The following is a 26,452-nucleotide window of genomic DNA, read 5'->3' on the forward strand; positions in this document are numbered from 1 at the left end:
GGAAGCCTGGTGGAGAGCCCCTCCCATCTGCTAAGCCCGGAGGGCATCAAAGGCTGCTGCTGCCCTCAACCCCTGACAATCTCATCATCTCATATCTCAGGCATGGAAGAATGAGGGCCATTACACGAGTAAAACATCAAGTACACTCCAGCCTGGATGACAGGGCCAGGCTCCATCTCAAAAAAAAATGCCTGTGGTCAAAGCTCTCCTGACAGGGGAAAACAAAACAAAACAAACTTCTCCTTAAAGAAAACATTTGCCTTTGACTGCATCATAATTCCAGCAGGATTTTGTGCAGATAACTCTTTGGCTAACTCTAAAATTAATACAGAAAGGTAAAGAAATTAGAATAGCCAAAGAAATTTTGAAAAGGAAGAATAAAGCGAGAGGAATCACATTCCTCAATTTTTAACAGCTCTATTGAGATAAAATTCACATACCATACGGTTCACCCATTTAAAGTGTATAATTCAGGCCGGGCGCGGTGGCTCACGCCTGTAATCCCAGCACTTTGGGAGGCTGAAGCGGGCAGATCACCTGAGGTCGGGAATTCGAGACCAGTCTGACCAACATGGAGAAACCCCGTCTCTACTAAAAATACAAAATTAGCCAGGCGTGGTGGCTCATGCCTGTACTCCCAGCTACTCGGAAGACTGAGGCAAGAGAATTGCTTGAACCCGGGAGACGGAGGTTGCCATGAGCCGAGATCGCGCCACCACACCCAGCTGCCATTTTTTAATTGATTACTTGTCTATTTATTACTGAGTTGTAAGATATTTTGGGCCAAGCACGGTGGCTAACGCCTGTAATCCCAGCACTTTAGGAGGCTATGGTGGGCAAATCACTTGAGGTCAGGAGTTCGAGACCAGGCTGGCCAACATGGCAAAACACCATCTCTACTAAAAATACAAAAAAATTAGCCAGGTGTGGCCAGGCGTGGTGACTCACGCCTGTAATCCCAGCACTTTGGGAGGCCAAGGCGGGTGGATCACCTGAGGTCGGGGGCTCAAGACCAGCCTGACCAACATGGAGAAACCCCGACTCCGCTAAAAATACAAAATTAGCCGGGTGTGGTGGTGCATGCCTGTAATCCCAGCTACTCACGAAGCTGAGGCAGGAGAATGGCTTGAGCCCAGGAGGCAGAGGTTGTGGTGAGCTGAGATCATGCCATTGTACTCCAGCCTGGGCGACAAGAGCGAAATTCTGTCACAAAAAAAAAAAAACCATTAGCCAGCCATGGTGATGCACACCCGTGGTCCCAGCTACTCAGGAGGCTGAGGTATGAGAATTGCTTGAACCCAGGAGGCAGAGGTTGCAGCGAGCCAGGATTACGCCGCTGCACTCCAGTCTGGGTGACAGAGCAAGACTCTGTCTAAAAAAAAAACAAAAACAAAAAAGATATTTTGTATGTGTTTGGATAACTTCCCTATCAGATATATGATTTGCAAATATGTTTCTCTCATTCTGTGAGACATCATTCAATTTTAAGACATCACAGAGCTATGTTAATCAAGGCACTGTGGCTGTGGTAAAGGATAGACACACAGAACAGAACAGAGAGCCCAGAAATGGACCCGCAAACCTATGCCCCATTCATTTTTTACAAATAAGTGCGAGAAGCCAACTGAATAGAAAGCGTATAGCTTTTTCAAAAAACAGTGCTGGAACAATTGGACATCTGTAGGCAAAAAAACAAACAAGCAAACAGAAGAATCTGGACCTGCCCTTCACACCTCAGACAAAAGTCATCTCAAAATGGATTGTAGATCTCAATATAAACATAAACTATACAACTTTAGAAGAAAATATAGGTGAAACTCTTTGTGTTCTGTGGTTAGGCAGACAGTTCCTAGGCATGGCACTAAGTAAGATTCATTTAAAATTTTTTGACAAATTGGACTTTATTAAAACTTTTGCTCTACAAAAGACAATATTAAGAGAATGAACTAACAAGCTACAAACTAAGAGAAAACATTTGCAAATTGCATATCTGACAAGGGATTGCTTCCAGACGATACACAGAATTCTAAAAATTCATCCTTAAGAGAATAAACCACCCAATTTTTAAATGGGCAAAACAGGCCAGGCGTGGTGGTGCACGCCTGTAATCCTAGCACTTTGGGAGGCCGAGGCAGGCGGATCACAAGGTCAGGAGATTGAGACCATCCTAGCTAACACGGTGAAACCCTGTCTCTACTAAAAATACAAAAAATTAGCCAGGCATGGTGGCAGGTGCCTGTAGTCCCAGCTACTCGGGAGGCTGAGGCAGGAGAATGGCGTGAACCTGGGAGGCGGAGCTTGCAGTGAGTGGAGATCGCACCACTGCGCTCCAGCCTGGGCAACAGAGCGAGACTCCGTCTCAAAAAAAAGACAAAATACTTGAAAAGATATTGGCTAGGCGCGCTGGCTCATGCCTGTAATCCCAGCACTTTGGGAGGCCAAGGCGGGTGGATCACAAGGTCAGGAGTTCAAGCAGCCTGGCCAAGATGGTGAAACCCCGTCTCTACTAAAAAAAAAAAAAAAAAAAAAAAAAAAATTGGCCGGGCACAGTGGCTCATGCCTGTAATCCCAGCACTTTGGGAGGCTGAGGCAGGTGGATCAGGAGTCAGGAGATCGAGACCATCCTGGCCAACATGGTGAAACCCCATCTCTATGAAAATACAAAAATTAGCCAGAGATGATGCCGGGTGCCTGTAATCCCAGCTACTCATGAGGCTGAGGCAGAAGAATCACTTGAACCAGGGAGTCAGAGGTTGCAGTGAGCTGAGATCGCACCACTGCACTCCACCCTGGGCGACAAATCGAGATTCCATCTCAAAAAAAGAAAAAAAAATTAAAAGGAATATTTGCCTCATTATGTTACAATAACTAATATGGAAAGCAATATTGCAATGCCTATTAGCACATGACATTAGGTGAATTCTCCTTTGTCCCCGGACCTGCTGCCTCCTCCTGCTTGTCAGGGGACAGATCCAGTACATCTCCCCTCAGCGCTGGGTGGACCTAACCCTTGCTTTCTTGGAGGAAACCCAGGAATCCAGAGACAAAGTGGAAGGGTACTGGCATGTGGTTGGGCAGGGCTGCCTGAGGTCGGTGTCAGCCGACCGTGGGGCTTGGTCCCAGGAGGCTGCTTACTGGGCCCTGCTCCTCTGGTTTCCCCCAAGTCGTGATTCTGAAATGAATAAGGACGGTGCAGAACTGGACTACAAATGCAGGAGTGACTTCCTGGGAGGGTGGGGCCCCTATCTCTCCTAGACTCTGTGGTCAGACTCTGGCCAACACCCCCTGTAAGGCCACAGGAGAGGAACAGGAGTGATAGCCCCCAAACCCCAGTCCCACCAGGCCCTGAGGGCCCCTTTGTCACTGGATCTGATAAGAAACACCACCCCTGCAGCCCCCTCCCCTCACCTGACCAATGGCCACAGCCTGGCTGGGCCCAGCTCCCTGTATATAAGGGGACCCTGGGGGCTGAGCACTACCAAGGCCAGTCCTGAGCAGGCCCAACTCCAGTGCAGCTGCCCACCCTGCCGCCATGTCTCTGACCAAGACTGAGAGGACCATCATTGTGTCCATGTGGGCCAAGATCTCCACGCAGGCCGACACCATCGGCACCGAGACTCTGGAGAGGTGAGTGTCAGACGGGACTGCCAGAGGGACTGGGTGGGAGGCCAGGTATGTGAGTGGGGACAGTGGGGAGGGGGCGGTGGGGAGGGGACAGTGGGGAGGGGACCATGGAGAGGAGACAGTGGGGAGGGCACTGTGGGGAGAGGACAGTGAGGAGGGGACCTTGGGGAGGGGACAGTGAGGAGGGAACCGTGGAGAGGGGACAGTGAGGAAGGGACAGTGAGGACAGATAGCGTTCCCTCTCAGTGAGGAGAGCAGGGTAAGGAGGGAACGATTAGGAGTTGCACAACCATCTGGGCTCGCTGAGACCTGGGCAGGCACAGGCCCAGGTTCTGACAAGCAGAGGGTGAAAGGTTTCGTTCTAGGCCTGAAGGGCCTTACAGGGCAGCCAGGGCACTACAGCCTCTAAAGTCCCAGCATCTGGGATCAGGGCACTGTCCCAGCTTCAAATTCCCAGCATCTGATCCCCTGGGAGGGGCCAGGGAGCTTTTCCTTCCCTGGAACGCTGCTGGGAGGTCATGAGCCTGCAGAAGGGGTGGCGGGCAACCCAGTCTGGGGCTGGGAGGGAGGTCCTGTGGCCAGAGGAGACGGTGGAGGGGCTGGGGGCACCAGGCGTGCTGGAGGCGGAGGGCGGGAGATTTGGGGACCAGGCTGCACAGAACCCGTCGGAAGCAGGGCGATCAGCCGGGAGCTGCAGAGGCCTGGGGGGCCTCTAGCCCAGGGCAGCCTGGGAGGGGCAGCTGCCTGGGCACCCGGGCCCCGCGAGGAGGGGCTGGGGCCTGCTGCGGGGTCGCAGATGTGTCCCGGTGCTCGGAGAGGGCCGCAGGGCGCGTGGGCCGTGGCGGGAGGCCGCGCTGCTGGGAGCTCACGGCCCCCGCCCCCCGTCCCAGGCTCTTCCTCAGCCACCCGCAGACCAAGACCTACTTCCCGCACTTCGACCTGCACCCGGGGTCCGCGCAGTTGCGCGCGCACGGCTCCAAGGTGGTGGCCGCCGTGGGCGACGCGGTGAAGAGCATCGACGACATCGGCGGCGCCCTGTCCAAGCTGAGCGAGCTGCACGCCTACATCCTGCGCGTGGACCCGGTCAACTTCAAGGTGCGCGGGGCGCGGTGCGGGCGGGGCGGGACGGGGCGGGGCGCGGTGCGGGCGGGGCGGGGCGGGGCGGGGCGGGGAGGGGCGGGGAGGGGCGGGGTCGCGGGGCGGATGCGGGGGTCGCCGGGCGGGGCCCGGGCTAGGCCCCGCCCCCTCACTGAGCCGCCCCCGCCCCCAGCTCCTGTCCCACTGCCTGCTGGTCACCCTGGCCGCGCGCTTCCCCGCCGACTTCACGGCCGAGGCCCACGCCGCCTGGGACAAGTTCCTATCGGTCGTATCCTCTGTCCTGACCGAGAAGTACCGCTGAGCGCCGCCTCCGGGACCCCCAGGACAGGCTGCGGCCCCTCCCCCGTCCTGGAGGTTCCCCAGCCCCACTTACCGCGTAATGCGCCAATAAACCAATGAACGAAGCAGCGTCCACCTGGTCTCTGTTGTCCGTGGGCGGCGGGCGCTTGGGGAGGCGGAGCGGGAGGAGGGCGCCCCGGCTGTCTCGGGGCCACTGCTGGGCCGCAGGGATCCTTGCACCGACCCCAGGGTCTCTAAGAGGCAGAGGGATGTGCAGCTCCCGGGGCGGGAGCGGGGGTCACTCGGGACCCAGGCGTGGTGGAGAAGGGGTGCAGTTAGGCCTTTGCGGAGGGGGGAGCAGTGCTGGCGCCCACCCGCCGCGGCTCTCCCTGGGACCTCCGTGGTCTTCCTTCTTTATTTCTCCCGAATGTGTACTATTTCCTGATTTCAGAACGATCAGGACGAAGAGGGGAGGGATGGGCGTCTGCGCTCACTCATTCCTTCTTCCATTCCTCAATGAAACATTTACTGGGCATAAGACAGCCTAGGCATGTTTCTAGGCTATGGATACCGCAGCTGAAATAAAGAAAGCCCTCTGCCCCGTGGGGCTGACAATCTAGTGGGGGATACAGACGTGATGAAGACAGTCAGATCACAGTTCACAGAAATGAGACAGGAAAAGAGGCTGAGCCTCACTCATAAGAGAAACGCAAGTTAAACTACACAAAAATAAAAAACCTCACTGAGATCCATGTCTCACCTCCCTGATAGGCAAAAATCCAAGAGTTTGATCAGACTGCAGGCGCCCCTCCTCCACTGGGCACCCCTCATCCAGGGCAGAGGGAACCAGCCCGGGGCGCAAGTCCACCGGGGCATCTCATTTGCTAAAGACCTGAAAACCCAGGTGTCCATCATCAGGACTAACTGGAAAAACCAAGGGTATCCGCACCATGGAGAGCTCGACTGAAAAAAAAAAATGAGGATAATTGGATAATTTCTTTTTTTTTTTTTTTTTTTTTCAGACGGAGTCTCGCTCTGTCGCCCAGGCTGGAGTGCAGTGGTGCGATCCCGGCTCACTGCAAGCTCCGCCTCCTGGTTTCAAGCGATTCTCCTGCCTCAGCCTCCCGAGTAGCTGGGTCTACAGGCGCCCGCCACCACGGCTGGCTAATTTTTTGTATTTTTAGTAGAGACGGGGTTTCACCGTGTTAGCCAGGATGGTCTCGATCTCCTGACCTCGTGATCCACCCGCCTCGGCCTCCCAAAGTGCTGGGATTACAGGTGTGAGCCACCGCGCCCGACCTAAAATGAGGATAATTTCTAATAATGAAAATAAAGAGGTTAGAATGGTGTGTATACAATGGTGGAACAGAGGAGAAACACGAATATGTGTGTGCACATATATGTGAGCTTATGCATAACTATGTATGAGGCTGCGTGTGGACATGTGTGTTTGTGCACAACCATGTATGTGCCCGCATGTGCTTATTTCTGCAAAAATAAACCATGGCAGGACAAACCGGAAATGAATACAAATAATAAGGTGGGTGGGGATGGAGGGGAAGGTGGAAGGAAGCTCCTGCAAGTCTGACTCTCTACATAGTTTTGACCTTTGATTTGTGTAAATATTTTACATTATCAAAAATAAATTCAGGCTGGGCATGGTGGCTCATACCTGTAGTCCTAGCACTTTGGGAGTCCAAGGGGAGAGGATTGCTTGAGGCCAGGAGTTGAAGGCCACCCTGGCCAACATAGAGAGACCCTGTCTTTAAAAAAAATTACAAAATTAAGGCCGGGCGCGGTGGCTCACGCCTGTAATCCCAGCACTGTGGGAGGCCGAGGTGGGCGGATCACGAGGTCAGGAGATTGAGACCGTCCTGGCTAACACGGTGAAACCCCGTCTCTACTAAAAAGTAGAAGAAATTAGCCGGGTGTGGTGGCGGGTGCCTGTAGTCCCAGCTACTTGGGAGGCTGAGGCAGGAGAATGGTGTGAACCCGGGAGGCGGAGCTTGCAGTGAGCCAGGTTCAAGCCACTGCCCTTCAGCCTAGGTGATAGAGTGAGACTCCTTCTCAAAAAAAAAAAAAAAATTACAAAATTAATAAGATTAAAATAAAAAGAGGGGCCTTGCCAGTGGCTCAAGCCTCTAATCCTACCACTTGGGAGGCCAAGGCTGGAGGATCCCTTGATGCCAAGAGTCGGAGGCCAGCCTAGGTAACACAGCAGGACCTCGTCTCAAAAAGATTAAAAAATTAACTGGGCATGGTAGCCTCCAAATTGGGGGTTAGCCTGGGAGGTTTGCCCAGGAAGGAATTCAAGGGCAAGCTGGTGGTGTTACACAGCAACTCTGATTGATATCGAAGCCACAGCAGACAGCAGGAGCAGAACACTGCTCCTTACAGAGCAGGGGTACCCCATAGGCTGTGTGCACAGGAGAGCAACTCAGAGGCACTGCTGCACTCATCTTTATACCCACTTTTCATTATATGCAAATTAAGGGAAAGTTATGCACAAATTTCTAGGATGAGTGTGGTAACTTCTGGGTGGTCCAGTCACTGCCATGGAAAGGGATGGTAAACTCCCATGGCACACTGGTGGGTGTGTCTTATGGAAAGCTGCTTCTGCCCTACTTGTTTTAGCTGGTCCTCAGTTTGGTCCGGTGTCCGAGCCCAACATCCGGAGTACATGCAGAGTCCCACCTCCTACGTCACACCTGCAGTTCCAGCTACTCAGGAGGCTGAGGCTGGAGGATTGCTGGAGCCCAGATGTTGAAGGCTACAGTGAGCTATGATTGTGCCACCGCACTTCAGCCTGAGCAACACAGCAATACTCTCTCTCTAAAAAAGCAAAGCACACAAACAAAAAGAGTGACTGGGTGCAGTGGCTCACACTTGGAATCTTAGCACTTTGGGAGGCCAAGGTGGGATGGTCACTTGAGCCTGGGAGTTCAAGACCAGCCTAGGCAACATAGCAAGACTTTATCTCTACTAAAATATATATATATTTTTTAATTAGCTGGACATGGTGGTGCACCTGCAGTCCCAGCTACTTGGGAGGCTGAGTTGGGGGTGGAGGGGAGTATCACTTGAGCCCAGAAGTTCCAGGCTGTAGTAAGCTATGATTGCACCACTGCACTCCAGCCTGGGCAACAGAGAGAGACCTTATCTATATTTAAAAAAAAAAAAAAAAAGAGAGAGAAAATTGAAAACTCCTAATTGAAAACCCCCAAATTGAAAACTAACTTAAATAAATGAGCCAATGTAAGAATGTGGTGATATAATAATCAGAAAAAAGGATTGTTCCAGGTGACCTCTGAACACAGAACCTCGGCTATGACCGAAAGAACTCCAAAGACACTCTAACACTCCGTGGTTTATTGTTCCTCATAACATATATAAAATAATTTCATAAGCTTTTATTTTGAAACATATTCAGATTATGAAGAAATAAAAACACCCTGCAAGAATAAGACAAAGATGGAGAAGGAAGGATGACTGCTGGTGGGTTTGGGGCTTTTGGAGGGTGATGGAAACCTTCTAAAATTGATTATGGTGATGGTCGCACAATTATGTGAACACATTAAAAATTATTGAAATGGGCCGGGGGTGGTGGCTCACCCCTGTAATCCCAGCACTTTGGGAGGCCAACGCGGGCAGATTACCTGAGCTCAGGAGTTCCAGACTAACCTGGCCAACATGGTGAAACCCCCGTCCCTACTAAAAATGCAAAAATTAGCCACGCATGGTGGCACATGCCTGTAATCCCAGCTACTGGGGAGGCTGAGGCAGGAGAATTGCTTGAACCCAGGAGACAGAGGTTGCAGTGAGCCGAGATTGTGCCACTGAACTCCAGCTTGGCCGACAGAGTGAGACTCTGTCTCAAAAAAAAAAAAAATTATTGAAATGTACACATTAAGTGGGTGAATTTTATCTCAATAAAACTGTTAAATAAAATAACAAGAATATGAAAAACTCTTGAATACTACTCATCCAGACTCTCCAGCTGTTAACATTCTACCACATCGGCTTGCTCTCTCTTGCCCCCACTTGCTCTTTCTCTCGGAGCCCTTGGAGAGGGGTATGCAAATATCCGTACTCTAAATATCCTCCATATACTGTGTATTTCCTAAAATCAACAAGGACATTAGGCTGCACAGCCAGAGAACAACCATCAAAATCAGGTTAATATTGATCCAAATCCATCTATCAACAGAAGCAACATCAAGTTCAAGACCCTTTTGAAAGCAATGATACCAGCCATTTACTCCATCCCTAAAGGACTGAGGGTGCTGCGAATTTAACCGTATCAATGCAGTCTTTTTGATGTTATTTACTGAAGGAAATGGATGTTCTTTAAAATATGTATTTATTTATTTTTCTTTTTTGAGACGGAATCTTGTTCTGTCGCCCAGGCTGGAGGGCAGTGGGACAATCTTGGTTCACTGCAACCTCTGCCTCCTGGGTTCAAGAGGTTCTCCTGCCTCAGCCTCCCGAGTAGCTGGGATTACAGGCGCGAACCACCACGCCCGGTTAATTTTGGTATTTTTAGTAGAGGCGGGGTTTTACCATGTTGGCCAGGCTGGTCTCAAACTCCTGACATGGTAGCCTGTAATCCCAGCTACTCGGGAGGCTGAGGCAGGAGAATCGCTTGAACCCAGGAGGTGGGGTTGCAGTGAGCCAAGATCGTGCCATTGCACTCCAGCCTGGGAGACAGAGCGAGACTCCATCAAAAAAAAAAAAAAAAAAAATTCCTGAAGCTCCTCTTGAGCTTACATTCTAGTGGACTGTAAACAGAAACATTTTTTTTTCCTGTGGATAAAGAAAAGCAGGGCAAGTAGGGGCTTAGACAGAGGAGGGGAGGATTCAGATTTTAAATGGGTTGGCCACTGTAGGTCTATTAACGTGGTGACATTTGAGGGAGTGGCAATACTAGGGAAGGGGCTTCAGGGGAGTGGCCAGGAGCTAGGGATAGAGGGAGGGAGGACAGGAGGCCTTGTCTGTCTTTTCCTCCATATGTAAGTTTCAGGAGTGAGTGGGGGGTGTCGAGGGTGCTGTGCTCTCCGGCCTGAGCCTCAGGAAGGAAGGGCAGTAGTCAGGGATGCCAGGGAAGGACAGTGGAGTAGGCTTTGTGGGGAACTTCACGGTTCCATTGTTGAGATGATTTGCTGGAGACACACAGATGAGGACATCAAATACATCCCTGGATCAGGCCCTGGGGCCTGAGTCCGGAAGAGAGGTCTGTATGGACACACCCATCAATGGGAGCACCAGGACACAGATGGAGGCTAATGTCATGTTGTAGACAGGATGGGTGCTGAGCTGCCACACCCACATTATTAGAAAATAACAGCACAGGCTTGGGGTGGAGGCGGGACACAAGACTAGCCAGAAGGAGAAAGAAAGGTGAAAAGCTGTTGGTGCAAGGAAGCTCTTGGTATTTCCAATGGCTTGGGCACAGGCTGTGAGGGTGCCTGGGACGGCTTGTGGGGCACAGGCTGCAAGAGGTGCCCAGGACGGCTTGTGGGGCACAGGTTGTGAGAGGTGCCCTGGACGGCTTGTGGGGCACAGGCTGTGAGAGGTGCCCAGGACGGCTTGTGGGGCACAGGCTGTGAGGGTGCCCGGGACGGCTTGTGGGGCACAGGTTGTGAGAGGTGCCCGGGACGGCTTGTGGGGCACAGGTTTCAGAGGTGCCCGGGACGGCTTGTGGGGCACAGGTTGTGAGAGGTGCCCGGGACGGCTTGTGGGACACAGGTTGTGAGAGGTGCCTGGGACGGCTTGTGGGGCACAGGCTGTGAGGGTGCCTGGGACGGCTTGTGGGGCACAGGTTGTGAGAGGTGCCCGGGTCGGCTTGTGGGGCACAGGTTGTGAGAGGTGCCCGGGACGGCTTGTGGGGCACAGGTTGTGAGACGTGCCCGGGACGGCTTGTGGGGCACAGGCTGTGAGGGTGCCCGGGTCGGCTTGTGGGGCACAGGCTGCAAGAGGTGCCCGGGACGGCTTGTGGGGCACAGGCTGTGAGGGTGCCCGGGACGGCTTGTGGGGCACAGGCTGTGAGGGTGCCCGGGACAGCTCGTGGGGCACAGGTTGTGAGAGGTGCCCGGGACGGCTTGTGGGGCACAGGCTGTGAGGGTGCCTGGGACGGCTTGTGGGGCACAGGTTGTGAGAGGTGCCCGGGACGGCTTGTGGGGCACAGGTTGTGAGGATGCCCGGGATGGCTTGTGGGGCACAGGTTGTGAGAGGTGCCTGGGACGGCTTGTGGGGCACAGGCTGTGAGGGTGCCCGGGACGGCTTGTGGGGCACAGGCTGTGAGAGGTGCCTGGGACGGCTTGTGGGGCACAGGCTGTGAGGATGCCCGGGACGGCTTGTGGGGCACAGGTTGTGAGGGGTGCCCAGGACGGCTTGTGGGGCACAGGCTGCAAGAGGTGCCCAGGACGGCTTGTGGGGCACAGGTTGTGAGAGGTGCCCGGGACGGCTTGTGGGGCACAGGCTGTGAGGGAGCCCGGCACGGCTTGCAGCTACAGGGAGAAAAGACTTGGTGCTGTGGGCCTGCCTTGGGGCTGGTGGTACAGCCCTTATCTGCTGCCCTCAGGATCTCCCGGCCCCTCTCGTCCAGGCCCCTGCAACCCCATGCCCCAGCCTCTGAGGACCAAAGGCGCCCCTGCTTGGGAAGAGGGGGCTCAGGGGAGTCGCCTGACCCGGTTCCAAGCCAGGCTGATTTACCGTTGCTAACATCCTATCGCACGCATCCCTCTGCCTCATGCACCCAACCCCAAGGCCTGGTACACTGCAGGCCCCAAGGTCCTGTGCGTCCTTTCAATACCCTCCTCACCTGCCTCACCTGCCCCCCCTACCCTGACTCTGGCTGGAGACCCCCTCCAGGGAGTTTTCAAAACAAAGGGTGTCAGTCTCCTGTGGGATTCCCTCACCTCTGCAGCCTGCGGTCTGAAAGCTGCCCCATGGTGTGTAGTGCTAAACTTCCAACTTACTCCAGGCCAGCGGTGACAGCCCGAGGGCAGGAAGGGCACCCACACTGAGCCTCAAACAGCTAATTTTGCAACTGTAAGTCCATATAATTGTCTTGAAAAGTAATTTGTTTCAAAAAGCTAAAAAACGAATACTCTTGAGTCTCCTTCTAGTAATTCCCCTTCTAGAGGTCTATCACCAGGAAAAGATCCAAAGCACTGATATTCTTCATGGAGTTGTTTATAATAGAAAAAAACTAGAGCTTGTTCACAAAGGGGAGCTCTGCAGGCTGAAGATGTTGCACCTGTCAGCGGGGATGGGGGCACGCTTGCTGACGCAGCAACGGAAAAGCATCAGTGTGTGAAGATGCATTTTCTCTCTTTCTATTATTATTATTTTTATTTTTATTTTTTCTGAGGCAGAACCTCGCTCTGTCACCCAGGCTGGAGTGCAGTGATGCGACCTCATCACAACCACGAGCCACCATGTGCGGCCCCATGAGCAAGCCACCACGCCCAGCCTTTTTTTCCCTTGTTTTAAAAAATCCTCTATTTAAAAAAGATGTGCATGGGCCGGGCACGGTGGTTCACGCTCATAATCCCAGCTCTTTCAGAGGCCGAGGCAGGCAGATCACCTGAGGTCAAGAGTTCGACACCAGCCTGGCCAACATGGTGAAATTCCATCTGTACTAAAAATACAAAAATTAGCCAGGCCGTGGTGGTGTGTGCCTGTAATCCCAGCTACTCAGGAGACTGAAGCAGGAGAATCACTTGAACCCAGGAGGCAGAGGTTGCAGTGGGTCAAAATCATGCCACCACACTCCAGTCTGGGAGACAGAGCAAGACTCCATCTCAGAAACAAACTAACAAACAAAATTTTTATATCTACCTATAATTCGTATAAATTTAAAATACATGCATAAAATCATACCCTTTGCAAGCACACGTACTAACTAAAAGGAATATATTCAGCACATAGAAATGGTTGTCTAACGGAGGAGGGGGGAGTTAATAAACAGAGAGGATAAAAAGAAATAAATCAGTAGAGCTGGAGGAGGGTCTCCTCCAGGCTGCGATGAGAACATAGTGAGCAGAATTGCAGGCCTGCATGACCTCACCTTCTGTGAGGAGTCCGGCCTCCCAAGACGCTTTCCTGCCTAGGTGCCCGGCTCAGAGTGTCCCCTACAAGGCTACTGGAGGAGAACCCCAGACCGAGCCTCATTCAGGTGAGGGGGCTGCACACCGGAGGTGGGAGAGGTCTGTCCCTTCCCACCCTGTGACACTGGGTCCCACTTTCTCTCTAGGGGGTCTCGGTTTCCTCATTTGCAAACTGGAGCTCATAAGGTGGGCCAGAGAAGTTTCAGTGAAGTGAGGAATGGATCGTCCCTCTGCCAGGGCCCATGTGCTCTAGGTCACCCTGTCATCACAGGGACAGGGAGGTCAAGGACAGTCACTCCTGAGGCCAGTCCGGGCTGGGCTGACCACGTGGACTCTCATGCCCAGATTGGGGCCCCAATCTCCCTGAAGCTGGGGCTCCAGCTGTGACTCAGGGGTGGGCAGAAGGGGAGACAGAAGCGATAGGTTCCTCAGCCCCCAGTCCCACCTGAGGGCCCCTTTGTCACTGGATCTGATAAGAAACACCACCCCTGCAGCCCCCTCCCCTCACCTGACCAATGGCCACAGCCTGGCTGGGCCCAGCTCCCTGTATATAAGGGGACCCTGGGGGCTGAGCACTACCAAGGCCAGTCCTGAGCAGGCCCAACTCCAGTGCAGCCGCCCACCCTGCCGCCATGTCTCTGACCAAGACTTAGGGGACCATCATTGTGTCCATGTGGGCCAAGATCTCCACGCAGGCCGACACCATCGGCACCGAGACTCTGGAGAGGTGAGTGTCAGATGGGACTGCCAGAGGGACTGGGTGGGAGGCCAGGTATGTGAGTGGGGACAGTGGGGAGCGGGCAGTGGGGAGGGGACCGTGGGGAGGGGACAGTGAGTAGGAGACAGTGGGGAGAGGACAGTGGAGAGGGGACAGTGAGGAGGGGACCATGGGAAGGGGACCGTGGAGTGGGGACAGTGAGGAGGGGACCATAGGGAGGGGACAGTGGGGAGGGGACAGTGAGGAGGGGACCGTGGGGAGGGGACAGTGAGGAGGGGACCGTGGGGAGGAGACAGTGAGGAGGGGACCGTAGGGAGGGGACAGTGAGGAGGGGACCGTGGGGAGGGGACAGTGAGGAGGGGACCGTGGGGAGGGGACAGTGAGGAGGGGACCGTGGGAAGGAGACAGTGAGGAGGGGACCTTGGGGAGGGGACAGTGAGGAGGGGACCATGGGGAGGGGACAGTGAGGAGGGGACAATGGAGAGGGGACAGTGAGGAGGGGACTGTGGGGAGAGGACAGTGAGGAGGGGACCATGGGGAGGGCACAGTGGGGAGGGGAGAGTGAGGAAGGGACAGTGAGGAGGGGACTGTGGGGAGGGGACAGTGGAGACAGATAGCCTTCCCTCTCAGTGAGGAGGGCAGGGTAAGGAGGGAACGATTAGGAGTTGCACAACCATCTGGGCTCGCTGAGACCTGGGCAGGCACAGGCCCAGGTTCTGACAAGCAGAGGGTGAAAGGTTTCGTTCTAGGCCTGAAGGGCCTTACAGGGCAGCCAGGGCACTACAGCCTCTAAAGTCCCAGCATCTGGGATCAGGGCACTGTCCCAGCTTCAAATTCCCAGCATCTGATCCCCTGGGAGGGGCCAGGGAGCTTTTCCTTCCCTGGAACGCTGCTGGGAGGTCATGAGCCTGCAGAAGGGGTGGCGGGCAACCCAGTCTGGGGCTGGGAGGGAGGTCCTGTGGCCAGAGGAGACGGTGGAGGGGCTGGGGGCACCAGGCGTGCTGGAGGCGGAGGGCGGGAGATTTGGGGACCAGGCTGCACAGAACCCGTCGGAAGCAGGGCGATCAGCCGGGAGCTGCAGAGGCCTGGGGGGCCTCTAGCCCAGGGCAGCCTGGGAGGGGCAGCTGCCTGGGCACCCGGGCCCCGCGAGGAGGGGCTGGGGCCTGCTGCGGGGTCGCAGATGTGTCCCGGTGCTCGGAGAGGGCCGCAGGGCGCGTGGGCCGTGGCGGGAGGCCGCGCTGCTGGGAGCTCACGGCCCCCGCCCCCCGTCCCAGGCTCTTCCTCAGCCACCCGCAGACCAAGACCTACTTCCCGCACTTCGACCTGCACCCGGGGTCCGCGCAGTTGCGCGCGCACGGCTCCAAGGTGGTGGCCGCCGTGGGCGACGCGGTGAAGAGCATCGACGACATCGGCGGCGCCCTGTCCAAGCTGAGCGAGCTGCACGCCTACATCCTGCGCGTGGACCCGGTCAACTTCAAGGTGCGCGGGGCGCGGTGCGGGCGGGGCGGGGCGGGGCCGCGGGGCGGGCGGGGCCGCGGGGCGGGGTCGCGGGGCGGGGCGGGGTGGGGTCGCGGGGCGGGGCGGGGTCGCGGGGCGGGGCGGGGCGGGGCGGGGCGGGCGGGGCGGCCGGGGCCCGGCGGGGCGGGGCGGGGCGGGGAGGGGCTGGGCGGGGCGGGGCGCGGGGCGGGGCGGGCCGGGCCGGGGCGGGGTCGCGGGGCGGGGTCGCGGGGCGGGGCGCGGGGCGGGGCGGGGCGGGGTGGGGTCGCGGGGCGGGGCCCGGGCTAGGCCCCGCCCCCGCACTGAGCCGCCCCCGCCCCCAGCTCCTGTCCCACTGCCTGCTGGTCACCCTGGCCGCGCGCTTCCCCGCCGACTTCACGGCCGAGGCCCACGCCGCCTGGGCCAAGTTCCTATCGGTCGTATCCTCTGTCCTGACCGAGAAGTACCGCTGAGCGCCGCCTCCGGGACCCCCAGGACAGGCTGCGGCCCCTCCCCTGCCCTTCACCCTCCCACAGTTCCTGCCCTGACTCCAATAAATGGATGAGGACGGAGCGATCTGGGCTCTGTGTTCTCAGTATTGGAGGGAAGGAGGGGAGAAGCTGAGTGATGGGTCCGGGGGCTTCGCAGGAACTCGGTCGTCCCCACTGTCGTCGCGGCCTGGGGTTCACTTGGGGGGCGCCTTGGGGAGGTTCTAGCCCCTGAGCACCGGAGCTGCGGCCCGGGTGGAGCGGAGCAGTCCCGGGCCGGCCCGCGGCGTCTCCTGGGGTCCTTGAGTCGGACGGGCGTTTGTGCGTCTCCCGGCTTCCCATATCGCACAAAGATTGTCACTTCACTAAGCGTATTGGAAGCGTGTCGGGGCTCAGGGAACTTTTCCACAAAGCCTGACGTCCGAATCCCGGGACTCTGGCAGCTACGGGGGTCCCTGAGGCCGGTCCCTCCCCGACTCCTAAGAGAGTAGGGGGTTTCCTGCCCGGTGTTCTCTCTCCGGTTCCTCCCATGTGCTCCCTCCTGGCAGAGCAGTAACTTTACCCGAGGGGAGTAAACAGATGCCCCTAAAGTCTGCAGTAAAGGTGCCCACGCGCAACGGCGTGGGTCAATGCCAGAAACCCTGGGATCCCGGAGGTCGAGGCCTCCACACAGACGGGAACCCGGGCTGGTTACGTTCCCCGGCGCAGGCCGAGGGTCCCCGCGTTCCCGCCGCGCTCGGGCCGATAAGGACGGGCGGGGTGCCCGGAGGCTCTATAAGGAGGCCAGGGCGGCGGGCGCGGCCCCCAGAGCACGTCAGGCGGCGCCATGCTCAGCGCCCAGGAGCGCGCCCAAATCGCGCAGGTCTGGGACCTGATTGCGGGCCACGAGGCGCAATTCGGGGCGGAGCTGCTGCTCAGGTCGGTAGAGGCGGGGTCTCCGGGAGCTCAGGGAGGTGGAGATGAGGGTTTTGGGCGCGTGGGCCGCCAACGCCATCCAAGGTCCTTCGGGTGCGGATCCCCGGGCTCTGGGCGGTGTGGGCGCTAGTGAAGCCCCACGCAGCCGCCCTCCTCCCCGGTCACTGACCTGGTCCTGCAGGCTCTTCACGGTGTACCCCAGCACCAAGGTCTACTTCCCGCACCTGAGCGCCTGCCAGGACGCGACGCAGCTGCTGAGCCACGGGCAGCGCATGCTGGCGGCTGTGGGCGCGGCGGTGCAGCACGTGGACAACCTGCGCGCCGCGCTGAGCCCGCTGGCGGACCTGCACGCGCTCGTGCTGCGCGTGGACCCAGCCAACTTTCCGGTGAGGCCTTTCCGGCCGGGGCAATGGTGCAGCGCGCAGCCGGGGTGGGGGGGCTCTGGGGGTCCCTAGCGGGGCAGACCCCGTCTCACCGGCCCCTTCTCCTGCAGCTGCTAATCCAGTGTTTCCACGTCGTGCTGGCCTCCCACCTGCAGGACGAGTTCACCGTGCAAATGCAAGCGGCGTGGGACAAGTTCCTGACTGGTGTGGCCGTGGTGCTGACCGAAAAATACCGCTGAGCCCTGTGCTGCGCAGGCCTTGGTCTGTGCCTGTCAATAAACAGAGGCCCGAACCATCTGCCCCTGCCTGTGTGGTCTTTGGGGAGCTAGCAAAGCGAGGTCACTATTGTTGGCCAGTGAAGCTCAGGGACCTAAAAGGAGCCTCCTAGAACTCTCAAATGCGCCCCACCCCCGGAGGTTTGTCCTCCCATGGCGAGGAGTGCGATGGGGCAGAGGGAGCACTGTGATGTGGCGGGGGTAGGGAGGGTGGCCTTCGACTTCAACCCTTGAATCGGGCTTCCAACCATACTGTTCGCAAAGCACTTCCCCATTCACGCATTTATTCATTCATTCTCCCTCCATCCCCACTTCCTGCTGGGACCTGTAGATGCTAATCCTGGCCCTTTTTGCAGAGAGATGCAGAAACTGAGGTCCCAGAGCCAAATGTGCAACCTAATTCGTTGGCCCAGAGCAGAGGGCTCCGCAGACCTGTTCCTTTCCCCTTCCTTCCCCCATGGACACTTCCTCAGTGGCAAACCTGCGCTAGCCTGGTTAGCCCTCCCTGTGACCCTGCAGCCCTGGGGATGAGGTCGGGAGGAAGTCCTCAGTGGCCACAATTTGGCAGACAGAGCAGGTTTAGTCTTCCAGCCTGCTCAATGACAAGCTGTGCGACCCTGGGCGTGTCCCAGAGCTCTCAGGCCTTTACCTATCGAATAGAAAAACAACGTCCAACTCACGAGATTTTTGAAATAATTTTTGAAATCATAACACAGGGTGGGTGCCTGCAGGGTCGTTGCCACCCCACCCCTCCACCCAGCCCCAGCTGCCGTGTCTCAATCTCTGCAGGTGCCCAGGCCAAGGCACTCCCTTCCCCAGGTTCCCTCTTCTCCCTCCCCAGGACTGGGAAGGGAATCTTAGGGCTCCACCCCAGGCTTTTCAGACAAAGAATAGGGGCTGAGGAAAGAGTGGGACCTTGGAGGTCTCCAAACCCTGAATAGGGTTGGCTCTGGGTTGGCCATCCTGGGTCTGTGTGGGGAGCACTGGACCAGGCCTGGCACCCAGGTCTGACCTGGCAGTCAGCAACGAGGTCTGAAGAGAGCTGCTGGAAGTGGAGCCCTGACTGTGAGTCGGCCAAACTCCCCCCAGCAGTCAGTGCCAGTGACCTGTTGCCCTGCACTGCCTGGGACCCCAGCCCGGTAGTTTGGAGAACTTGGCCCCACGTTATCTACATCCCCCAACTGTTTTTTTGTTTTTGGGGGTTTTTTTTTTTTTTGCTTTGTTTTTGTTTTTGAGATAGGCCCTTGCTCTGACACCCCGGCTGGAGTGCAGTGGCACAGTTTTGGCTCACTGCAGCCTCAACCTCCTGGGTTCAAGCGATTCTCCTGCCTCTGTCTCCCGTGTAGCTGGGATTACAGGCATGGGCCGCCATTCCTGGCTAATTTTTGTATTTTTAATAGAGACACAGTTTCACCATGTTGATCAGGCTGGTCTCAAACTCCTGACCTCAAGTGATCTGCCCTCCTCGGTCTCCCAAAGTGCTGGGATGACAGGCGTGAGCCACCACACCCAGCCCCCGCAACTGTTTACATGGATAATTAACAGCTTTTTGTCCCAGGCAGAGTTTGGTGTGAAAGCAGCTTATGTTTCACTTTGGAAAAACTGTGCTCTTCTCCCCATCCAGGAAGCTGCCTGGGTCTGGGCCATATGTGGATACCTTATGGGTATAAGCTGCTCAGGACCCTGTGTGGAAGCTCAGGACAATGCCAGCGGGAAGGCTACCATGTGGAGAGCTGGTCTCTGTTTGGGCAGGACTAAGAGACGCAGGGCAGCCTTGGGCAACCTGTCTACTCTCACTCACTCCTCCTCCCCTTTCCTGTGCCAGGCACCTCCTGGCAACTTGCCAGCCAATGACCCTGCATCCCAGGCATAAGAGCTCCTACTCTCCCCCACCTTTCACTTTTGAGCTTACACAGACTCAGAAATAAGCTGCCGTGGTGCTGTCTCCTGAGGACAAGGCTAACACCAAGGCGGTCTGGGAGAAAGTTGGCAACCACACTGCTGGCTATGCCACGGAGGCCCTGGAGAGGCAAGAACCCTCCTCTCCCTGCTCACACCTTGGGTCCAACGCCCACTCCAGGGCTCCACTGGCCACCCCTAACTATTCTTACCCTGGACCCAGCCCCCAGCCCCTCACTCTTTGCTTCCCCCTGAAGCATGTTCCTGACCTTCCTCTCACTTGGCCCTGAGTTATGGCTCAGCCCAGATCAAGAAACAATGCAAGTAGGTGGCCGACACGCTGACCAATGCCGTGGTCCACTTAGATGACATGCCCAATGATGTGTCTGAGCTGAGGAAGCTGCATGTCCACGAGCTGTGGGTGGACCCAGGCAACATCAGGGAGAGCTTTGGGCTGGGAGGAATCTAGGGTGTGGGGGCAGCTGGCCTTCCTCATAGGACAGACCCTCCCACGCGTTCAGGGAGGTGGAGCACAGGTGGCAGTAGTATCTGCATCCCCTGACTCTCTCTCCACAGTTCCTGGGTAAATGCCTGCTGGTGACCTAGGCCTGCCACACCCTTCCCAGTTTACCCATGTGGTGCCTCCATGGACAAATTATTTGCTTTTGTGAGTGCTGTGTTGACCTAAAAACACCATTAAGCTAGAGCATTGGTGGTCATGCCCCCTGCCTGCTGGGCCTCCCACCAGGCCCTCCTCCCCTCCCTGCCCCAGCACTTCCTGATCTTTGAATGAAGTCCGAGTAGGCAGCAGCCTGTGTGTGCCTGGGTTCTCTCTGTCCCGGAATGTGCCAACAGTGGAGGTGTTTACCTGTCTCAGACCAAGGACCTCTCTGCAGCTGCATGGGGCTGGGGAGGGAGAACTGCAGGGAGTATGGGAGGGGAAGCTGAGGTGGGCCTGCTCAAGAGAAGGTGCTGAACCATCCCCTGTCCTGAGAGGTGCCAGGCCTGCAGGCAGTGGCTCAGAAGCTGGGGAGGAGAGAGGCATCCAGGGTTCTACTCAGGGAGTCCCAGCATCGCCACCCTCCTTTGAAATCTCCCTGGTTGAACCCAGTTAACATACGCTCTCCATCAAAACAAAACGAAACAAAACAAACTAGCAAAATAGGCTGTCCCCAATGCAAGTGCAGGTGCCAGAACATTTCTCTCATTCTCACCCCTTCCTGCCAGAGGGTAGGTGGCTGGAGTGAGGGTGCTGGCCCTACTCACACTTCCTGTGTCATGGTGACCCTCTGAGAGCAGCCCAGTCAGTGGGGAAGGAGGAAGGGGCTGGGATGCTCACAGCCGGCAGCCCACACCTGGGGAGACTCTTCAGCAGAGCACCTTGCGGCCTTACTCCTGCACGTCTCCTGCAGTTTGTAAGGTGCATTCAGAACTCACTGTGTGCCCAGCCCTGAGCTCCCAGCTAATTGCCCCACCCAGGGCCTCTGGGACCTCCTGGTGCTTCTGCTTCCTGTGCTGCCAGCAACTTCTGGAAACGTCCCTGTCCCCGGTGCTGAAGTCCTGGAATCCATGCTGGGAAGTTGCACAGCCCATCTGGCTCTCAGCCAGCCTAGGAACACGAGCAGCACTTCCAGCCCAGCCCCTGCCCCACAGCAAGCCTCCCCCTCCACACTCACAGTACTGAATTGAGCTTTGGGTAGGGTGGAGAGGACCCTGTCACCGCTTTTCTTCTGGACATGGACCTCTCTGAATTGTTGGGGAGTTCCCTCCCCCTCTCCACCACCCACTCTTCCTGTGCCTCACAGCCCAGAGCATTGTTATTTCAACAGAAACACTTTAAAAAATAAACTAAAATCCGACAGGCACGGTGGCTCACACCTGTAATCCCAGTACTTTGGGAGGCTGAGGCGAGAGGATCACCTGAGGTCGGGAGTTTGAGACCAGCCTGACCAATATGGAGAAACCCCAGTTATACTAAAAATACAAAATTAGCTGGGTGTGGTGGCGCATGCCTGTAATCCTAGCTACTAGGAAGGCTGAGGCAGGAGAATCGCTTGAACCCGGGAGGTGGAGGTTGAGGTGAGCTGAGATCACGCCATTGCACTCCAGCCTGGGCAACAAGAGCAAAACTCCGTCTCAAAAAATAAATAAATAAATAAATAAATAAACTAAAATCTATCCATGCTTTCACACACACACACACACACACACACACACACCCTTTTTTGTGTTACTTAAAGTAGGAGAGTGTCTCTCTTTCCTGTCTCCTCACACCCACCCCCAGAAGAGACCAAAATGAAGGGTTTGGAACTCAGCCCATGGGCCCCATCCCATGCTGAGGGAACACAGCTACATCTACAACTACTGCCACAGGCTCTCTTTTTGGACAAAAATACCATCATACTGTAGATACCTGTGTACAACTTCCTATTCTCAGTGAAGTGTCTCCCCTGCATCCCTTTCAGCCAGTTCATTCAGCTCTGCGCCATTCCACAGTCTCACTGATTATTACTATGTTTCCATCATGATCCCCCCAAAAAATCATGACTTTATTTTTTTATTTTTATTATTATTATTTTTTTTTTTTTTTTTGTGACGGAGTCTCGCTCTGTCACCCAGGCTGGAGTGCAGTGGCACAATCTCGGCTCACTGCAAGCTCCACCTCGCAGGTTCACGCCATTCTCCTCCCTCAGCCTCCCGAGTAGCTGAGTAGCTGGGACTACAGGCGCCCCCCACTACGCCTGGCTAATTTTTTCTATTTTTAATAGAGACAGAGTTTCACTGCATTAGCGAGGATGGTCTCGATCTCCTGACCTCGCATCTGCCCGCCTCAGCCTCCCAATGTGCTGGGATTACAGGCGTGAGCCACCGCGCCCGGCCTTATGTATTTATTTTTTTGAGACAGAGTCTCGCTGTGTCGTCAGGCTAGAGTGCTGTGGCACGATCTCGGCTCACTGCAACCTCCAACTCCCTGGTTCAAAGGATTCTCCAGCCTCCACCTCCCGAGTAGCTGGGATTACAGGCGTGCACCACCACACCCAGCTAATTTTTGTATTTTTAGTAGAGACGGGGTTTCTCCATGTTGGTCAGCCTGGTCTCGAACTCCCGACCTCAGCTGATCCACCCGCCTTGGCCTCCCAAAGTGCTGGGATTACAGGCGTGAGCCACCGAGCCTGGCCAAACCATCACTTTTCATGAGCAGGGATGCACCCACTGGCACTCCTGCACCTCCCACCCTCCCCCTCGCCAAGTCCACCCCTTCCTTCCTCACCCCACATCCCCTCACCTACATTCTGCAACCACAGGGGCCTTCTCTCCCCTGTCCTTTCCCTACCCAGAGCCAAGTTTGTTTATCTGTTTACAACCAGTATTTACCTAGCAAGTCTTCCATCAGATAGCATTTGGAGAGCTGGGGGTGTCACAGTGAACCACGACCTCTAGGCCAGTGGGAGAGTCAGTCACACAAACTGTGAGTCCATGACTTGGGGCTTAGCCAGCACCCACCACCCCACGCGCCACCCCACAACCCCGGGTAGAGGAGTCTGAATCTGGAGCCGCCCCCAGCCCAGCCCCGTGCTTTTTGCGTCCTGGTGTTTGTTCCTTCCCGGTGCCTGTCACTCAAGCACACTAGTGACTATCGCCAGAGGGAAAGGGAGCTGCAGGAAGCGAGGCTGGAGAGCAGGAGGGGCTCTGCGCAGAAATTCTTTTGAGTTCCTATGGGCCAGGGCGTCCGGGTGCGCGCATTCCTCTCCGCCCCAGGATTGGGCGAAGCCCTCCGGCTCGCACTCGCTCGCCCGTGTGTTCCCCGATCCCGCTGGAGTCGATGCGCGTCCAGCGCGTGCCAGGCCGGGGCGGGGGTGCGGGCTGACTTTCTCCCTCGCTAGGGACGCTCCGGCGCCCGAAAGGAAAGGGTGGCGCTGCGCTCCGGGGTGCACGAGCCGACAGCGCCCGACCCCAACGGGCCGGCCCCGCCAGCGCCGCTACCGCCCTGCCCCCGGGCGAGCGGGATGGGCGGGAGTGGAGTGGCGGGTGGAGGGTGGAGACGTCCTGGCCCCCGCCCCGCGTGCACCCCCAGGGGAGGCCGAGCCCGCCGCCCGGCCCCGCGCAGGCCCCGCCCGGGACTCCCCTGCGGTCCAGGCCGCGCCCCGGGCTCCGCGCCAGCCAATGAGCGCCGCCCGGCCGGGCGTGCCCCCGCGCCCCAAGCATAAACCCTGGCGCGCTCGCGGGCCGGCACTCTTCTGGTCCCCACAGACTCAGAGAGAACCCACCATGGTGCTGTCTCCTGCCGACAAGACCAACGTCAAGGCCGCCTGGGGTAAGGTCGGCGCGCACGCTGGCGAGTATGGTGCGGAGGCCCTGGAGAGGTGAGGCTCCCTCCCCTGCTCCGACCCGGGCTCCTCGCCCGCCCGGACCCACAGGCCACCCTCAACCGTCCTGGCCCCGGACCCAAACCCCACCCCTCACTCTGCTTCTCCCCGCAGGATGTTCCTGTCCTTCCCCACCACCAAGACCTACTTCCCGCACTTCGACCTGAGCCACGGCTCTGCCCAGGTTAAGGGCCACGGCAAGAAGGTGGCCGACGCGCTGACCAACGCCGTGGCGCACGTGGACGACATGCCCAACGCGCTGTCCGCCCTGAGCGACCTGCACGCGCACAAGCTTCGGGTGGACCCGGTCAACTTCAAGGTGAGCGGCGGGCCGGGAGCGATCTGGGTCGAGGGGCGAGATGGCGCCTTCCTCTCAGGGCAGAGGATCACGCGGGTTGCGGGAGGTGTAGCGCAGGCGGCGGCTGCGGGCCTGGGCCGCACTGACCCTCTTCTCTGCACAGCTCCTAAGCCACTGCCTGCTGGTGACCCTGGCCGCCCACCTCCCCGCCGAGTTCACCCCTGCGGTGCACGCCTCCCTGGACAAGTTCCTGGCTTCTGTGAGCACCGTGCTGACCTCCAAATACCGTTAAGCTGGAGCCTCGGTAGCCGTTCCTCCTGCCCGCTGGGCCTCCCAACGGGCCCTCCTCCCCTCCTTGCACCGGCCCTTCCTGGTCTTTGAATAAAGTCTGAGTGGGCAGCAGCCTGTGTGTGCCTGGGTTCTCTCTATCCCGGAATGTGCCAACAATGGAGGTGTTTACCTGTCTCAGACCAAGGACCTCTCTGCAGCTGCATGGGGCTGGGGAGGGAGAACTGCAGGGAGTATGGGAGGGGAAGCTGAGGTGGGCCTGCTCAAGAGAAGGTGCTGAACCATCCCCTGTCCTGAGAGGTGCCAGGCCTGCAGGCAGTGGCTCAGAAGCTGGGGAGGAGAGAGGCATCCAGGGTTCTACTCAGGGAGTCCCAGCATCGCCACCCTCCTTTGAAATCTCCCTGGTTGAACCCAGTTAACATACGCTCTCCATCAAAACAAAACGAAACAAAACAAACTAGCAAAATAGGCTGTCCCCAGTGCAAGTGCAGGTGCCAGAACATTTCTCTCATTCCCACCCCTTCCTGCCAGAGGGTAGGTGGCTGGAGTGAGGGTGCTGGCCCTACTCACACTTCCTGTGTCACGGTGACCCTCTGAGAGCAGCCCAGTCAGTGGGGAAGGAGGAAGGGGCTGGGATGCTCACAGCCGGCAGCCCACACCTGGGGAGACTCTTCAGCAGAGCACCTTGCGGCCTTACTCCTGCACGTCTCCTGCAGTTTGTAAGGTGCATTCAGAACTCACTGTGTGCCCAGCCCTGAGCTCCCAGCTAATTGCCCCACCCAGGGCCTCTGGGACCTCCTGGTCTTCTGCTTCCTGTGCTGCCAGCAACTTCTGGAAACGTCCCTGTCCCCGGTGCTGAAGTCCTGGAATCCATGCTGGGAAGTTGCACAGCCCATCTGGCTCTCAGCCAGCCTAGGAACATGAGCAGCACTTCCAACCCAGTCCCTGCCCCACAGCAAGCCTCCCCCTCCACACTCACAGTACTGGATTGAGCTTTGGGGAGGGTGGAGAGGACCCTGTCACTGCTTTCCTTCTGGACATGGACCTCTCTGAATTGTTGGGGAGTTCCCTCCCCTCTCCACCACCCGCTCTTCCTGCGCCTCACAGCCCAGAGCATTGTTATTTCAGCAGAAACACTTTAAAAAATAAACTAAAATCCGACAGGCACGGTGGCTCACGCCTGTAATCCCAGCACTTTGGGAGGCCGAGGTGGGAGGATCACCTGAGGTCGGGAGTTTGAGACCACCCTGATCAACATGTAGAAACCCCATCTATACTAAAAATACAAAATCAGCCGGGCATGGTGGCCCATGCCTGTAAACCCACCTACTCCGGAGGCTGAGGCAGGAGAATCATTTTAACCAAGGAGGCAGAGGTTGCAGTGAGCTAAGATCACACCATTGCACTCCAGCCTGGAAAACAACAGCGAAACTCCGCCTCAAAAAAAAAAAAGCCCCCACATCTTATCTTTTTTTTTTCCTTCAGGCTGTGGGCAGAGTCAGAAGAGGGTGGCAGACAGGGAGGGGAAATGAGAAGATCCAACGGGGGAAGCATTGCTAAGCTGGTCGGAGCTACTTCCTTCTCTGCCCAAGGCAGCTTACCCTGGCTTGCTCCTGGACACCCAGGGCAGGGCCTGAGTAAGGGCCTGGGGAGACAGGGCAGGGAGCAGGCTGAAGGGTGCTGACCTGATGCACTCCTCAAAGCAAGATCTTCTGCCAGACCCCCAGGAAATGACTTATCAGTGATTTCTCAGGCTGTTTTCTCCTCAGTACCATCCCCCCAAAAAACATCACTTTTCATGCACAGGGATGCACCCACTGGCACTCCTGCACCTCCCACCCTTCCCCAGAAGTCCACCCCTTCCTTCCTCACCCTGCAGGAGCTGGCCAGCCTCATCACCCCAACATCTCCCCACCTCCATTCTCCAACCACAGGGCCCTTGTCTCCTCTGTCCTTTCCCCTCCCCGAGCCAAGCCTCCTCCCTCCTCCACCTCCTCCACCTAATACATATCCTTAAGTCTCACCTCCTCCAGGAAGCCCTCAGACTAACCCTGGTCACCTTGAATGCCTCGTCCACACCTCCAGACTTCCTCAGGGCCTGTGATGAGGTCTGCACCTCTGTGTGTACTTGTGTGATGGTTAGAGGACTGCCTACCTCCCAGAGGAGGTTGAATGCTCCAGCCGGTTCCAGCTATTGCTTTGTTTACCTGTTTAACCAGTATTTACCTAGCAA

The 26,452-nt window shown here is 56.9% G+C and overlaps 3 protein-coding genes, 1 long non-coding RNA gene and 2 pseudogenes across 4 annotated transcripts, besides 18 other annotated features; all 6 read left to right on the top strand.

The window, feature by feature from the left end:
* Positions 1-3,477: part of a locus control region, noted in NCBI's record as "regulatory region from 0-65 kb upstream of the HBZ (hemoglobin, zeta) gene; 5' extent approximated based on the cNFG2 cosmid described in PMID:2253879", that runs on past the window's edge. NCBI's record gives its function as "regulates expression of the alpha-globin genes during erythroid development" and the evidence as "EXISTENCE:transgenic organism evidence [ECO:0001131][PMID:2253879, PMID:1425590, PMID:17110138]".
* On the top strand, positions 3,267-5,126 carry HBZ (hemoglobin subunit zeta). Its single transcript, NM_005332.3, has 3 exons — positions 3,267-3,627; positions 4,515-4,719; positions 4,895-5,126. Exons 1-3 carry the CDS (start codon positions 3,533-3,535, stop codon positions 5,021-5,023), a joined length of 429 nt encoding a protein of 142 aa, NP_005323.1. The 5' UTR covers positions 3,267-3,532; the 3' UTR covers positions 5,024-5,126.
* On the top strand, positions 11,570-13,544 carry LOC107983982 (uncharacterized). Its single transcript, XR_001752047.1, has 3 exons — positions 11,570-12,051; positions 13,116-13,180; positions 13,259-13,544. It is a non-coding gene; the product is annotated as an uncharacterized LOC107983982 (long non-coding RNA).
* HBZP1 (hemoglobin subunit zeta pseudogene 1) lies at positions 13,690-15,828 on the top strand (annotated as a pseudogene).
* Positions 14,408-14,908: an enhancer, noted in NCBI's record as "H3K4me1 hESC enhancer chr16:213784-214284 (GRCh37/hg19 assembly coordinates)". NCBI's record gives its function as "activates a minimal SCP1, AML or CMV promoter by ChIP-STARR-seq in naive H9 embryonic stem cells {active_cell/tissue: H9 hESC(naive)}" and the evidence as "EXISTENCE:reporter gene assay evidence [ECO:0000049][PMID:30033119]".
* HBM (hemoglobin subunit mu) lies at positions 16,601-17,387 on the top strand. Its single transcript, NM_001003938.4, has 3 exons — positions 16,601-16,712; positions 16,891-17,095; positions 17,203-17,387. Exons 1-3 carry the CDS (start codon positions 16,621-16,623, stop codon positions 17,329-17,331), a joined length of 426 nt encoding a protein of 141 aa, NP_001003938.1. The 5' UTR covers positions 16,601-16,620; the 3' UTR covers positions 17,332-17,387.
* HBAP1 (hemoglobin subunit alpha pseudogene 1) lies at positions 19,264-20,075 on the top strand (annotated as a pseudogene).
* Positions 20,683-21,185: an enhancer, noted in NCBI's record as "OCT4-H3K4me1 hESC enhancer chr16:220059-220561 (GRCh37/hg19 assembly coordinates)". NCBI's record gives its function as "activates a minimal SCP1, AML or CMV promoter by ChIP-STARR-seq in primed H9 embryonic stem cells {active_cell/tissue: H9 hESC(primed)}" and the evidence as "EXISTENCE:reporter gene assay evidence [ECO:0000049][PMID:30033119]".
* Positions 20,985-21,043: a non allelic homologous recombination region, noted in NCBI's record as "X2 box recombination sub-region, recombines with the X1 box recombination sub-region within the hemoglobin subunit alpha 1 recombination region". NCBI's record gives the evidence for it as "EXISTENCE:nucleotide sequencing assay evidence [ECO:0000219][PMID:14747441]".
* Positions 20,985-24,352: a biological region, named in NCBI's record as "hemoglobin subunit alpha 2 recombination region". NCBI's record gives its function as "recombination_partner: LOC106804613".
* Positions 22,466-22,504: a non allelic homologous recombination region, noted in NCBI's record as "Y2 box recombination sub-region a, recombines with the Y1 box recombination sub-region a within the hemoglobin subunit alpha 1 recombination region". NCBI's record gives the evidence for it as "EXISTENCE:nucleotide sequencing assay evidence [ECO:0000219][PMID:17573529]".
* Positions 22,488-23,228: an enhancer, noted in NCBI's record as "H3K27ac-H3K4me1 hESC enhancer chr16:221864-222604 (GRCh37/hg19 assembly coordinates)". NCBI's record gives its function as "activates a minimal SCP1, AML or CMV promoter by ChIP-STARR-seq in naive H9 embryonic stem cells {active_cell/tissue: H9 hESC(naive)}" and the evidence as "EXISTENCE:reporter gene assay evidence [ECO:0000049][PMID:30033119]".
* Positions 22,515-22,539: a non allelic homologous recombination region, noted in NCBI's record as "Y2 box recombination sub-region b, recombines with the Y1 box recombination sub-region b within the hemoglobin subunit alpha 1 recombination region". NCBI's record gives the evidence for it as "EXISTENCE:nucleotide sequencing assay evidence [ECO:0000219][PMID:17573529]".
* Positions 23,467-24,066: a non allelic homologous recombination region, noted in NCBI's record as "Z2 box recombination sub-region I, recombines with the Z1 box recombination sub-region I within the hemoglobin subunit alpha 1 recombination region". NCBI's record gives the evidence for it as "EXISTENCE:restriction fragment detection evidence [ECO:0001124][PMID:6091047]".
* Positions 23,499-24,333, top strand: HBA2 (hemoglobin subunit alpha 2). The gene is made up of 3 exons (NM_000517.6): positions 23,499-23,630; positions 23,748-23,952; positions 24,095-24,333. Exons 1-3 carry the CDS (start codon positions 23,536-23,538, stop codon positions 24,221-24,223), a joined length of 429 nt encoding a protein of 142 aa, NP_000508.1. The 5' UTR covers positions 23,499-23,535; the 3' UTR covers positions 24,224-24,333.
* Positions 23,968-24,707: an enhancer, noted in NCBI's record as "OCT4-H3K27ac-H3K4me1 hESC enhancer chr16:223344-224083 (GRCh37/hg19 assembly coordinates)". NCBI's record gives its function as "activates a minimal SCP1, AML or CMV promoter by ChIP-STARR-seq in naive H9 embryonic stem cells {active_cell/tissue: H9 hESC(naive)}" and the evidence as "EXISTENCE:reporter gene assay evidence [ECO:0000049][PMID:30033119]".
* Positions 24,064-24,239: a non allelic homologous recombination region, noted in NCBI's record as "Z2 box recombination sub-region II, recombines with the Z1 box recombination sub-region II within the hemoglobin subunit alpha 1 recombination region". NCBI's record gives the evidence for it as "EXISTENCE:restriction fragment detection evidence [ECO:0001124][PMID:6091047]".
* Positions 24,270-24,352: a non allelic homologous recombination region, noted in NCBI's record as "Z2 box recombination sub-region III, recombines with the Z1 box recombination sub-region III within the hemoglobin subunit alpha 1 recombination region". NCBI's record gives the evidence for it as "EXISTENCE:restriction fragment detection evidence [ECO:0001124][PMID:6091047]".
* Positions 24,708-25,446: an enhancer, noted in NCBI's record as "OCT4-H3K27ac-H3K4me1 hESC enhancer chr16:224084-224822 (GRCh37/hg19 assembly coordinates)". NCBI's record gives its function as "activates a minimal SCP1, AML or CMV promoter by ChIP-STARR-seq in naive H9 embryonic stem cells {active_cell/tissue: H9 hESC(naive)}" and the evidence as "EXISTENCE:reporter gene assay evidence [ECO:0000049][PMID:30033119]".
* Positions 25,241-25,298: a non allelic homologous recombination region, noted in NCBI's record as "X1 box recombination sub-region, recombines with the X2 box recombination sub-region within the hemoglobin subunit alpha 2 recombination region". NCBI's record gives the evidence for it as "EXISTENCE:nucleotide sequencing assay evidence [ECO:0000219][PMID:14747441]".
* Positions 25,241-26,452: part of a biological region, named in NCBI's record as "hemoglobin subunit alpha 1 recombination region", that runs on past the window's edge. NCBI's record gives its function as "recombination_partner: LOC106804612".
* Positions 26,023-26,061: a non allelic homologous recombination region, noted in NCBI's record as "Y1 box recombination sub-region a, recombines with the Y2 box recombination sub-region a within the hemoglobin subunit alpha 2 recombination region". NCBI's record gives the evidence for it as "EXISTENCE:nucleotide sequencing assay evidence [ECO:0000219][PMID:17573529]".
* Positions 26,069-26,093: a non allelic homologous recombination region, noted in NCBI's record as "Y1 box recombination sub-region b, recombines with the Y2 box recombination sub-region b within the hemoglobin subunit alpha 2 recombination region". NCBI's record gives the evidence for it as "EXISTENCE:nucleotide sequencing assay evidence [ECO:0000219][PMID:17573529]".
* Positions 26,418-26,452: part of a non allelic homologous recombination region, noted in NCBI's record as "Z1 box recombination sub-region I, recombines with the Z2 box recombination sub-region I within the hemoglobin subunit alpha 2 recombination region", that runs on past the window's edge. NCBI's record gives the evidence for it as "EXISTENCE:restriction fragment detection evidence [ECO:0001124][PMID:6091047]".

Source organism: Homo sapiens, chromosome 16 (genome assembly GCF_000001405.40).
Source record: "Homo sapiens chromosome 16, GRCh38.p14 Primary Assembly".
NCBI classification, from domain to species: Eukaryota; Metazoa; Chordata; class Mammalia; order Primates; family Hominidae; genus Homo; species Homo sapiens.

Bases quoted from the DNA above. Each gene is read 5' to 3' on its own strand.
- HBM (NM_001003938.4), top strand. From the start codon at position 16,621: ATGCTCAGCGCCCAGGAGCGCGCCCAAATCGCGCAGGTCTGGGACCTG. The intron at 16,713-16,890 runs GTCGGTAGAGGC...CTGGTCCTGCAG, and splicing joins GGGGCGGAGCTGCTGCTCAG to GCTCTTCACGGTGTACCCCA. The intron at 17,096-17,202 runs GTGAGGCCTTTC...CTTCTCCTGCAG, and splicing joins TGGACCCAGCCAACTTTCCG to CTGCTAATCCAGTGTTTCCA.
- HBA2 (NM_000517.6), top strand. From the start codon at position 23,536: ATGGTGCTGTCTCCTGCCGACAAGACCAACGTCAAGGCCGCCTGGGGT. The intron at 23,631-23,747 runs GTGAGGCTCCCT...TTCTCCCCGCAG, and splicing joins GGTGCGGAGGCCCTGGAGAG to GATGTTCCTGTCCTTCCCCA. The intron at 23,953-24,094 runs GTGAGCGGCGGG...TTCTCTGCACAG, and splicing joins TGGACCCGGTCAACTTCAAG to CTCCTAAGCCACTGCCTGCT.
- HBZ (NM_005332.3), top strand. From the start codon at position 3,533: ATGTCTCTGACCAAGACTGAGAGGACCATCATTGTGTCCATGTGGGCC. The intron at 3,628-4,514 runs GTGAGTGTCAGA...CCCCCGTCCCAG, and splicing joins GGCACCGAGACTCTGGAGAG to GCTCTTCCTCAGCCACCCGC. The intron at 4,720-4,894 runs GTGCGCGGGGCG...CCCCGCCCCCAG, and splicing joins TGGACCCGGTCAACTTCAAG to CTCCTGTCCCACTGCCTGCT.